This window comes from Homo sapiens, chromosome 9, assembly GCF_000001405.40.
Source record: "Homo sapiens chromosome 9, GRCh38.p14 Primary Assembly".
Taxonomy (NCBI): domain Eukaryota; kingdom Metazoa; phylum Chordata; class Mammalia; order Primates; family Hominidae; genus Homo; species Homo sapiens.
The window spans coordinates 84687365-84700477 of record NC_000009.12 but is presented as its reverse complement, the minus strand read 5'-3'; the positions used below and the strand labels follow the sequence as shown (position 1 = coordinate 84700477).

Genomic DNA, 13113 nt, shown 5'->3' with positions numbered 1-13113 from the left:
TTCTTGGTTGTCCCTGATACCCAGGGCCTGGCACACTTAATAAATGTGCAGGAAGCTTTCGTTCCCTTCTCTCCTCCCACCACACATAGAAGAAAGAAACATTTTAAGACTTGAAAGGAATGCTCAATTTTTAACATCAACTGTTTCAGAGTTATCATACTTTAGATACATTTTTGCAAGATTTTTCACCAACATTTTCAATAGAGACCACAGTGACCTCACTCTTCTAAATGATCTCACAGTAAGAACTGCATTCTAAAGAGCCCTGAATTTTAATACTTTTTCTCATGCAACTGACAGCAAAAAGGATAGATAATGTGGGCGAGTTTTCCTCTGGAGTCACAATCCAGACTTCCAGGCAAGCCTGTCCCCTCCTACCAGCTGTGTAAGCATGAGGCCTGTCACTGTCCTGAAGTCATTGAGAGTTCTTCCTCACTCTTTTCCTGGATTATCCTTGCATCCTCCATGCTCACAACAAGGGCCTGGAACTCAATGGGGACTTTATTATGATCTGCACAAGGCACTCATCTTTAACTTTTTGTTACTTATGCCCTTTCTTTTCATTTTTCATCAGACATTTAATTTATAAACTCCCCGGTTTTATTCAATAGAATACAACGAACCAGCAAATAAAAATGGAAGGCATAGAGGAGAGAAAGACAGGGGTAGAGATGTCAATGGATTGCACAAAACTATGTGGGAAAAAAAAGAAAAAAAACAATTTAAAAATAAAAATAAATTAAAAATAAAGAGATATCAACGGAGCCCGGAATTCAATTTAGAAATGCATACACTCGTTAGAAAAAAAAAAAAACACACACATAAGCTTAATTCTATGCTTTCTAGTCACCAGTGTCCAAGAAAGAAGGAGATGAGGATAAATTTGGTCAATGGTAAATTCACAGTATTCATGAGATGAAAATGAGCCAATTAAGCAAAGCACCACTATTCTGAAATCTAAGACCAGACAGGAAATTTTGCTGAAAACCATTCAAAAGCACCATCAAAAGAAGTTATGAAAAATGGTCACTAGAGAATACGCTTCTACTGTGGGGGCAAGAATGCCCTGGATAAATAAATACATTTTTCTTCTTGTCAAGATGGAAAGGCCAACAGAAGAGCTGGATTACAAGTTTAGCAAGGGCCAGGAGCAGTGCCTCACGCCTGTAATCCTAGCACTTTGGGAGGCCAAGTCGGGCGGATCACGAGGTCAGGAGATTGAGACCATCCTGGCTAACATGGTGAAACCCCGTCTCAACTAAAAATACAAAAAATTAGCCAGGCGTGGTGGCGGGTACCTGTAGTCCCAGCTACTCAGGAGGCTGAGGCAGGAGAATGGTGTGAACCCGGGAGGTGGAGCTTGACATGAGCCGAGATCACACCACTGCACTCCAGCCTGGGCAACAGTGCAAGACTCCGTCTCAAAAAAAAAAAAAAATTTTCAGCAAGGGCTCCTCTAGTAGTAGATCCTAAGAATTCCCCCTCATAAGCTACTACGTGTAGTCATGTCCACAATATAGATGCTAGCTACAAACTGCTCAGGAAATCTACCCCCTAAGAAACTCTCCTTAGCTACCACTAAGTGAAGAATCAAATCATAGGGTTAGAAAAGAAGCCAGTAAGGTGAATAACAGGGAATTCACAGAGGGAAAACTTCGGTGGCCAAGAAACATGAAAAGTTGCTTATCTCCCAAGAAATGTGAAATGTAAATTAAAATAACAATGACATATTATTCCTCTCCCACTAGATTGACAAAATGTTTAAAGTCTAACAATGTAAAACATTTCTATGGATGTGATGAAATTTCTCTGAAATTGTTGGAGGAAGTGTAAATTGTTATAACTACTTTGAAAAGCACTTGGCCTGTATCTTGGAAAATTATAAATCAGAACCCTTCAGGGCCCAGCAATTCTATTCCAGGTATTCATCCAAGAGAAGTTCTCACATATGGACTCAAGAAGAGTCATTGTAATATGATCAGTAGAATATTACAACATTCATTGTCATAGAGTCAAAAGCTGGAACAACCCGAGTGTCCATCCATAAAGAAATAGACATTGTTTAAAATAAGGTGATATATATATATATATATTAGATTAAATCAGATCTACATATTTGAACAGAAAGACACTGCTATGCGAAGTGAGAAAGAAGATAAGCAAAATTGTATACTGATACGTACATGTAACATAAAACAATCTGTGTGAACTTTTAAAAATACACAAAAAATAATATCACATAGTGTTCACAGTCAAGTAGATATGCCAAGTATAGAAAGATGATTCCAAGGAAGGTGGCCTTGGGAAAGGAGAATGGGTCTGGGGTTACACACACACACACACATACACAGAAACTATTTATACCATTTATGTTATTAAACTGCTAAACTATTTTATTAAAAGAAAAAATAGCTTAAAAATATTCAACTATTATTTCTGAATGTAATTATATAAAGTTATTATGTCATTATACTTTTTTGAATTTTTAAAATTTATGAAGAAAAAAGAAAAGAAAGAGACAGCAAGCAAGAAAGGGTGGGAGGGAGAGAGGGAAAGAAAGAGAGACAGAGACTGCAACAACCATACAAAGGAAATAACTGCAGGAAAGCCAGACCCCAGGGTTTCTCAGTGACTCAGTGGACAAACACACCCGAGCTCAAGTTCTTGGTTCCCTGGACCACCCAAACAGCAAACAGCTAACAGCTTTCTTTCCCTGCTCCACAGCCTCCGCATGGAAACAGAAGACCAAGGTGTGTGCTGCGCTGCCCCCTCCTGGTGACTTCCACCTGCCTCCAGGAGGATCTCCACAGCCCTGGCCTCTCCTGCTCTCTGCCTCAGGGCAACTGATCCCAAAGGCACAGGGTTAGGAAGGAGAGAGGAAGTGCCAGGTCAGGGCCACTGACAGGCGGGCAGCAGGCTCTTTCCCAGAAAACCACTCCCCACTGCCCCTGTTAAAGTGCAGTGACACTGTGGGCTCTTCACCGAGTCAAGCTCTGCTTAATAAAACACATCTCCAAAAAGGGTGCCATTCCCTCAAGGGAGCAGTGGGAAGGCCCAGAATTGTGGCACACACCCCAACCAGGAGATTTCTCTCCATGACAACCTCAAACTCCTCTAACCTAGGCCCACTGCTCTAGAAAGCTTAGGCCCAGGGGCTTCCAAGCACAGCCCCTCCGCCCCCAGAGCCCATGTCCCCGCACTTGCCTCACAGGAATCTCACGAGGTCCACGGAGTTTTCATCTTCTCAGAAAATTGAGCTTCCCTCCACCCCCCAGCCTGCAGACGTTGCTTGCATGCTCTCTTAGGCAAGTCAGCGGCCCTTAAATAGTGACCAAGAGGCATGGTGAATTCGGATTTTTTGTTTCATTTGGTACTCCTTAGGAATTTCTCTCACCTCGTCAGTCCCTCAGGGTCCCTGGCCCTCAACCTTTATTAATAATCTGCCAGGAATCATTGGTGGCCTTCAACCATCCTGTTCTGCCCAGAATGTGCCTTCCTCCCTTACCAAGTCCATATACAGGACTCTTGCTAGGACCTCATATTATGAGGGCAGTTTTTGCTGTTATTTTTTGCACATTTACTACATCCCAAGGTCATTAACTATTGCCCTAAAGATTGGATCTTATATGATAGAGTCTTATCAATGTACTCATCTAAATCTATCCCAGGACCCTCCACGACTGCTTGAGTGATTTGTAGACACAACACCAAAAATGCTTTTTCCAATCAGAACATTTTTATTCCATCGGTTGGCATGCAGTTTTAGCATTTATTGCACTTGTAAGTTTGCAATTAAGAATTAGAGCAATGGGAGGTACTCTTTGTACCCTCAATTTTATTTTTCTATGAGTCTACCTGACCCCATAACTGAATTGCTAGCTCCTCATCTCATCTCACTGATCTCCGTTTCCTAGCACAGAGCTGATGCTCAAGGAATGTCTGCTCACTTAGGGCACCCAAACTGATCCTCCACCTGGAGTTTATCACCGTCATAGGACACAGCTTCACTTCTCATGCAGAAAACAAGCAAACAAAGGAAAGACAATAACAGAAGGGGGTGGAAAGCTGATTTGGAACCCCAAATTTGTCCAATCTAAAAGCTAATTTAGATTACAAGAACACAACATATTCAAACCCACTACTTATTTACTTATTTATTTAAGTGATAAAAACCAGCTAGCCACAGTGGCTCACACCTGTAATCCTAGTACTTTGGGAGGCCAAGGCAGGAGGCTTGAGTCCAGGAGTTCGAGACCAGCTTGGGCAACATAGTAATACCCTGTCTACACAAAATTTAAAAATTAGCTGGGCATGGTGGCAGGTGCCTGTGGTCCCAGCTGCTTGGGAGACTGAGGTGGGAGGATCACTTGAGTCCAAGAAGTTAAGGCTACAGTGAGCCATGATAGCGCCAACTGCACTCCAGCCTGGGTGACAGAGCAAGATCTTGTCTAAAATAATAATAATAATTGCCCTCAGCAGATAAGCATTCATTTGCCACAGAACCCCAACATGTGAGGAATGTAAGACTAGAAATGGCCTCCATGATTCTTCAAATCCAGCAATTCTTTATCTTGAAGGAGATGATGCTCTAAGGAGAGACAGTGGACACTGCCACAGGATATGATGAGCCAAAAAGAAAAGGTTTTAAGAAGAAGTACATGCACTTGCCCTGTGAGGGCACAGTGGAAGGAACTACAAAAATTATTGGAAATATATATTTGTTTATATATATTTAAATAATTGGGCAGGTCAGTGAAGGCTTAAAAGGAGAAAGGGCATTGAGCTCAAGCTTTGAAGAGTGATCGGAAAGTGGATAAAGAATTAGAACATAAACACAGTACATGCTATTTGTCATCTTGTTTTGTGTTGTCACCAAATCTTCTCCAGTCTCAATTTGACATTCAGGACCTTTACTAAGACATTTTTCTGAGGGTAAAGAATTTCCTCTTCTTTGGCTTAACAAAAAGCTTATAGCTGGCTTTTTGGAAAATAAGAGAAAAGAGGTAATTTTAGAGAAAATTCACAGAAATATTTTTGACTTACAGGTTCCTGGAAAGGGTCCTCATTACATTTTAAAAGGTTTCACATTTGCTTTAACAACCTATCAAATAATTCCTCTAGGTAATCTCTTCAAGCAACAAGGAGTAGTATCTAATGCATCTTGTCTTTAAGCATATTAGCTTAATAGTGGTATTACTCAAAAGAAAAATTCCCCTTTAGCCTAGACTTTATTACCTGAACTGTACTTTGGCAACACATCAAAATGAAATGGAAGCAGCTGTGAATATTTCAAATGGTGACTCTTCAAAGTGGAATCGTTTCCTGCTACCCCATCCTCCCTCCTTATAGATAGATCAATAAAATAGATAGATACATAGATAGATAGAAGTTTTTTGTTGTGTGTTTTTTTTTTTTTTTTTTTTGAGACGGAGTCTCACTCTGTCACCCAGGCTGGAGTGCAGTGGCGCGATCTCGGCTCACTGCAAGCTCCCCAGGATGGTCTCCATCTCCTGACCTCGTGATCCACCCGCCTTGGTCTCCTGAAGTGCTGGCATTACAGACGTGAGCCACCGCGCCCGGCCAATAGATAGATTTTTATCAAATCTAATCTATCAATCAATCTATCATCTCCAGATGATATCTATCAATCTATCTATCATCTCTAGATAGACAGATGATAGATAGATGATTGATTGATAGATTAGATTTGATAAAAGTAGATAGACCTCAAATTCCCAGGCTTACAGCCACGGCATTTCAACTATGACAGGATTCTCTCTGCTCTAAGGTTTCTTTCATAGGGAGTAGAATAATCCTTTTCTAAAAAAAAAATTCCCTTGGTCCCTGGGTTCACAGCTAGCCAGTTTCAGTTTCTCAGCAAAAATGCTGAGAAAGAGTTTTGAAAGTCAGTCCCTGAGCAGGTGCAGGTGATACGGAAGATCAGACTCTCAGTCTGTGGCTCTATTCTTGAGGGGGTATGCACCCCAACTGTGAGGACGTGAATGGAAAGAACGCTAAATGAGCAAGCCCAAAATCTAAATTTGAAGAGCTTACTACTGCATGCTGTTGAGCAGTGGCATTTTCAGCTTTCAGTTTCTTTTTGGCCATGAGCTTTGAAGTAGCACCAGTAACTCCCTCTTTATGGAGTGCTAACTGGTGTTAGCCAGAAGGCTACCCAGGGACTGTCTCCTAACAAAATAATGCTACCAGGAGAGTTCTATGATTGTTCCCATTTTTCAGAAGACAAAACTGGGGCCTCGCCATGCCAGATCACTTCCCCTAAGTCACATAGCTGCCAAAACAGGATTTGAACCCAGATGTACCTGCCTCTGAAGTCTGAGCCCATAGCCACTGTACCACGCTCTAGGACTGGGGACTTGTAAATCCAGCACCTTCACGATAAATAATTTCTAGAGTTTTTGCACAATGGACCTTTACAAATAATCACAGCCCAAACACAGCAGTCAATGGAAAAGAACAGGGATACTTTTTAGGATGATGTCCTGTATTATATTTACATAGAGCAACAATAGGAGATAAATAAGAAATCTTCAGATTCTTACACAATGCCTCTGAAAACTGCAGCTTATTAGAACAGCCCAAATACTCCGGGCATTTACAAATTTGAGTGCCTGGAAAATAATTGGTAGTGTAGGATGAGGACTAAACATACTGCACTAGCTTCACCTCTTACTGGCTATATGACCTGAGACAAGTCCCTACGCCTCAGTTTCCTTGTCTGCAAAATGCAGTAACGACAGTAACTGCCTCCTAGGGTTGTTGGGAAAATTAGAAAACCAGACTGCACATGAGAATTTCAATTAATGCTAATTATTATTTAAAATGAACAGACCAGTTTCAAGGCCTGGCTTGGTTACTAACTAGCTGGTGAGCTTAATGTCACCCAGCCTCTAGTGCAAGAGGAAATTTGAATTGATAATATCTCACATCTCTTCAATACATAAATTATGAGAAAAAATCTTCAAAATATTATAAAGAAAAAAATTACACTCTGTATTTCTCTCTGAGTGTTTATATAGCACTTTTCTTATCTGTTCCCACCAATATGGTGATTTCCAACAGGGACCACCAAAATTTATGATGAGAAAAAAAAACTTAACATTTTCTTTCTCATAAAACATATAGGTCTCTATAATGAAAGGATAACTTTAATTTAACTTATTGCCAGAGCCCTGAATGCAAGTTTAAGACTGGATCTCAGTCTACAAGTAGCATGATGGGTAAATCTTAGCAACTGATGATCAGCCAGAGGTCACAGTCAAAAGCACGTGGTCGGGATCTGACCAACAAGGGTGCTTTATTTTTTAGAAAATTTTAATTAGTCACTAACATTTGAGATTGAAAATTTTCACATTTAAAAAGTTTTGAATTTCCATGTTGTCTTAAGAAAACAGAAGGTCCATGAAACTGAACCAGCATCTCCTCCTGGCAACCACGAGCTGTGCTGCCCCTGGGTTGTTCGGAGCACATTTCCAATTGGTTCCATCTTGAGCAACTTCCGATCTTTCACTGGCCCATGGAAAGATTTTATGACACCTGATTTAATTCTTGCTCATAAGAGACTTTAATGCTCCAACTAATCTCCTACATGAATAGGAGATGTGTAGAGCTCCCATGCATAGCAATCTCTAAAATGAACCTCATCAAATAAATGCTACCAGGAGACTAGCACACAGAAACTGTATGTAAACCCTGGGCGCGGTGGCTCATGCCTGTAATCCCAGCACTTTGGGGGGCCAAGGTGGGCAGATCACCCGAGGTCAGGAGTTCGAGACCAGCCTGAGCAACATGGAGAAACCCCGTCTCTACTAAAAATACAAAATTAGCCAGGTGGGTAGCACATGCCTGTAATCCCTGCTTTCAGGAGGCTGAGGCAGGAGAATCCTTGAACCTGGGAGGCAGAGGTTACAGTGAGCCAAAATCGCGCCATTGGATTCCAGCCTGGGAGGCAAAGTGAGACTCTGTCTCAAAAAAAAAAAAAAAAAAAAGAAAAAAAGAAAAAAAAGAAAAGAAAAGAAACTGTGTGTAAAATGACACAGAAACTACAATTAAAAATTGACAATGTCTTTAAGTTACTTTTACCTGTTCTGGAAACTTTGCAAACTTCTTCTGTTGTTAAAAATGAACTAATACTTGCACAGACATAGCCAAGGTAATTTGATAGTTGGTATAATGGTAAATACAATTCCCAGGAGAAGCAAGGGATGGGTTTTTTTCTGACAATTTTTTTTCTTCCAACGTATTTAATTAATATAATTGTATATTTTACATTAGGTCTCAGATCTTTCATAGGTCACAGTAATCCACGACAGCCGATGGGAAGACAATAACTGAACAGGTACCATGGCACCAATTTACCATATTAAACCATGAAGAGTACCAGGACAAAAATGACACTGAACTACTCTCCAAAAAATAGAAATGGCTTAAAAGTTGACGTTTAAGCCACAGTTTTTATTTGGAGCAGATGTACTCTAACATCGGTCAATATGAAACCATCAGAAACACAAGTCAGCTCATTCAGCGACTTGGGGTGCCCTCTGCAGCTAATTCATCCTGGCAGGCTCACAAGAGGACCATCTCTCTCAGGGTTGGAGGCACCACGGGAGCCTAAGGGAGCTTTTCCTATGGCTGGGGAGGCCGTCTGGTCACACCTGCTCCTAACAGCTCCTAGGCCAAAACCTTCTCTGCTGCTCTGTGGGGTGGAACTCTGGGATTTCAATCAAGCATTTGTCTAAGTTCTGGGGCAGTCACAGGGCTGCTTCCCCCAGGAAGCCTGCATCTCTGCTGGTACCTCTGCAGCTCATCTTCATACTCAGATAGGGTAGCTTCCACCTGAACAAGCACACAGACCAGGCTGCTTGGTCTTTATAAAAGGATGTCAGCCCCCACCATCTGCTTGTTTGGTTTTCAAAGAGAACAGATCTGGCCTTAACCAGCAACAGAGACTAAAATTTTCCAGGCTCTTGTCAAAGGAGACAACTTCAAATCATGTGCAGTCCAGTTTCCATCAAAGCCTGGTTCAGCAAAGGGCATGTAGGAATGGGAGTCTAACATCCTGAGTTGTATCTGTTATAATTACAGCCCTGGGATAGGAGATTAAATTCTTGGACAACTTTAGCCTCCTTGCAGAATTGATGTCCTTGTCACTTCCTCCAACTTTCACTGGCTTTCTCAGGAAGAAGAAAATGAAAGCTACTTCTGGATTTTTCATAAAAACTGTGCGTTACATCACTTATTGTTCCTGCAAAAGAAATTCCTTTTGGAATACACTGCCAGACAAATCTGTGTTCCTGTGGAATTAGTAGGCATTCTCCTTCCTAATAATGAGTTTCTCTTTTCACTGCCAGGAAGTTGGGGACAAATGTTGCACTCAGTTACAGCAACTATGCCAACCATTAGGGTTAGTTGGAGTTCTTGTCTTTAATTCTTTCATCCCTCTCATTTTTACCTTATTAATTTTATTGTATAAAATAATTATAATTCAAATAGTTATTCAAATACTGATGAAAAACTGATTGTGACATTTTTAACATTCATTCCATAAAAATTAAATGGTCTTTATGTACAATATGCTGACACTATAGAATTACTCTATACTAGTTGTTTTCAAGAAATGGGTTAGTAAGTAGTTTCATCTATGATTTATTAAAATTTCAGAATGAATGCTCATTAAAAAGTAAAATCTTGAAACTTCAATCTAACATATAAATTATCATTTTTTTTATTTTTTTTTTTGAGATGGAGTCTCACTCTGTCGCCCAGGCTGGAGTGCAGTGGCGTGATCTTGGCTCACTGCAAGCTCCACCTCCCAGGTTCACACCATTCTCCTGCCTCGGCCTCCCAAGTAGCTGGGACCACAGGCGCCTGCCACCACCGGCCACCATGCCCAGCTAATGTTTTTTTTTGTAATAAATTATCATTTTTTAAAATGTCTTTTCCTCTTTCCCTGTTCTTTCAAGCCAATACATTTCCCATTTATGACTCTTGAAGAAGAATCTCCAATGATTCGCCTGGACTGTAAGAATTCTAAAAAGCATTCAAGTCATCACGAATCACAGCAGAACACAGTTTTGAAAGCTCTTGGCCTCCAGTCAGGACAAATCATTTCACAAGAAGAAAATTTTTGGAACTAATACTTCTTCTCCAGCTTCAGGATAGGTCAAGCATGGCAAAGAGAAAAATGAGCATAATGTCAAGAGAGGAGAATGATTCCAGTGGTAAAATTTTAGGATCTCTATGAAGGTCTGTTTTGATATTGGCACAATTTTTCAGCCAACTTTTATAGGCTATGGGAGTAAGGAAAGGGAGTGAAATTCAGGGACACTTCCCATTTTATCTTCAGCATTTCACTTCTCATGTTAACCTTCAGTCATTTTTATAGATGGCTAGAGATTACTTTCTTTGGAGTTAAACTTCAAAGATGCTAGTGGAAAGAAATTCCAATCATAGTGGTTGTGTAAGGCCACAATAAGTAAGTTATTTTGCAAAAGGAAAGCATGAATAGCTGTAAAAGTCCTAAACAAATATCTTATTTAAAAAAAAAGCTTTTAATTCAAGGGATATATTACTGTTCAAAAAGATGTACATTTTTGAGGTACCTAGAACAGTCAAATTCATAGAGACAGAAAGTAGAATGGTGGTTGCCAGGCACTAGAGGGAGGTAAGGTTATGGGGGGTCATGGTTTGAAGGGTACAGAGTTTCAATTATTCCAGGTGTAAAGAGTTCTGGAAATGGATGGTGGTGATGGTTACACAACACGTGGATGTACTTAGCATCACTGAAATATGAACTTAAAAATGGTTAAAATGGCAAACTTTATGTCATGTGTGTTTCACTACAATTCTTTTTTTTAAAAAAAGGATAAGATGTCTATGTTTTAAAGGCCTTACAACTAAAGAATAAAAAGGACAGTTAAAAGAGAAAATGGAGAAAAATAAAAGAGAAAATGACTGACAATCCCAGAGTCCAGGAGGACTGTTAATAAACAACCTGACCAATAAAATAGACCAGGACCATCAAAGAAACCAAAGTCACAGAACAAAGACAATGACCTGAATAACAGTCATGAAATCTCACTTGTGATCGCTCAGCACACGAATGGTTAATGTCCCAATCAGCTAAGCACACCAGGTCCTACACGATGAGAGTAATGCACAGACAAGCCAAAGGGCATGCAAAGGTTGCCATAAGGGAACCAGCGCCATTTACATCTGTCCTCTTAGCCTCAGGCTGTTCAGTGTCATGCTCAAGGCAGAGTCTTTTGCTTTTCAGTCCTCCCAACCTCACAGAGTAGTTTCCTCTGAATCATATTTGAAGATAGCTCCACACATGCGCACACATATAAGCTAACAGCAGAGTGCGAACTGTGTGTCAGGCACTGCTATAAGCATTCTACATGCATCAGCTCACTTTAACCTCACAGTAATGCTTTTCTATTTTTCTATTATTGCCCACTTTTCCAGATGGGGAAACTGAGACATGAAAGCTTTAGTTACTAGTCCAAAGTAGCAGTGGCAGACCACACATCCTAGTGGAGCCCTTAACCCACCAATGTTACAACAGGAATCACTCCCCTACACAAACTCCCAAAGAAAATGGAAAATTAATCTATCAATCCATTATGCATGTCTACTGACATATTCAGTAATTTTTCAATTCAGGAAAAAAGACATCGTGAGGAAAGGAACTTTTCAGGCACAGTTTTTACAATCTCAGGATCCTCCAGGGGTCCCAGTAAAAAATAATAGTATTTAGCCACAATTAGCTGATTCTTGAAACATTACATTTAGACCCAGAACTTTCAGGGGCAATAATAAAATCCATATGGGGAAGAGAGAAAGGAGGAAGCTGGTAGCTAATGACGTTTAACAATTCTCATTGACTGCTGGGGACAGATCTATGCTTTGCTTGTGATCTGCTTGTGTCTATGATAATATCACAAAACTTGATGGGGAGGAATCCAGTATACTCTGTCCTTGTTGGGAACATGGAGCCCCTGAAGAGAGGGTGGGGCACTGAAGTGTAGGAACCATCTGAAGAGCCTGGCCACCCCCCTACACACTCCCAGGACATATGCCCTGCACTTGCCCTGATCCAGAGCATCATCGTCATAGCACAAAAGCACAATGAGGCAGAGGCCAGGTCCACAATGCAAAGGGCCGATCAGCCTGGTCCATGGCACCTTTAGCCCTGAGCATTGGGCCCAGGTCCTTTGGAGTCCATCACTCTGTTCTCCTTCAGCAAGTGCTTCCACATGAGGCAAGGAGTCCACAGAGCCAATAGGATGCTCCTTCCTGGATTTCACCCTTCCCCAGGATCCCAGAATTCCCTACTCAAAGACCCTGAGTCCACTCCTACGGCCTGAGCAGGCCTTTTCCTTGGATCCATCTTCCTGAGGGTGCACCAAGCCATGGATATGCACACACCAGGTACAGCAGTGTAAGGGAAAGGGGGAGGTCCAAGGTTGATGTCTATGGTGGTGTTGATAGAGTTTGGGTGTGTAGGCCGAACTGTCCATGCACCTGCCTATGAGGTCCCTTGTAGTTTTGGGGAGAGAGAAAGGTAGGGCCATCTGACTGGGGGCTCTGTTTGTGCCCTTGAAACAGACCATATAAAAGGTATAAATGGTAGGAGCTGGCCTAAGTCTTGTCACCCAAGACCCAGGAAAGTACCAGGTACAAAGACATGTTCAAAACTGATTTGCTGATTGAGTAACCAAATGAATGAACGCATGAGTCAGTCAATCAATCAATCAATATAAGCATATATAAAAGTTAGTTCCTGTCCTCAATTTGAGCTACCCATGGGAAAAGATGACTTTGCCAACAGAGTATCTATTGCCTTCTGAACTGTATGTGTATAGATACAAAATGCAATCAAAGGATGGTAATGACCACATGGATTCTAGTGTAGACTGGGTAAGTAAGAGGCTCTATAGTACCCTCAAGACACCAGGAATTTAAGCTCCAGAAGACACTTTTTATTGGTGGGAAAGCAATTCCTCCGCAATAGAGGAAAATCCAGGGGAAAATAATCACTCCAGGGTTACCTGATCTCCAACAAACAAAAATAGGTCTAATGAGAAAGAT

The 13113-nt window shown here is 41.0% G+C and overlaps 1 protein-coding gene across 36 annotated transcripts in view, besides 1 other annotated feature; it reads right to left on the bottom strand.

The window, feature by feature from the left end:
- Nucleotides 1–13113, bottom strand: part of NTRK2 (neurotrophic receptor tyrosine kinase 2) — a 358533-nt gene that overhangs the window by 326577 nt on the left and 18843 nt on the right. The gene's annotated exons all lie outside the window — the stretch shown is intronic.
- Nucleotides 6133–6392: an enhancer, noted in NCBI's record as "active region_28506". NCBI's record gives its function as "activates an Ori minimal core promoter by ATAC-STARR-seq in GM12878 lymphoblastoid cells {active_cell/tissue: GM12878}" and the evidence as "EXISTENCE:reporter gene assay evidence [ECO:0000049][PMID:35858748]".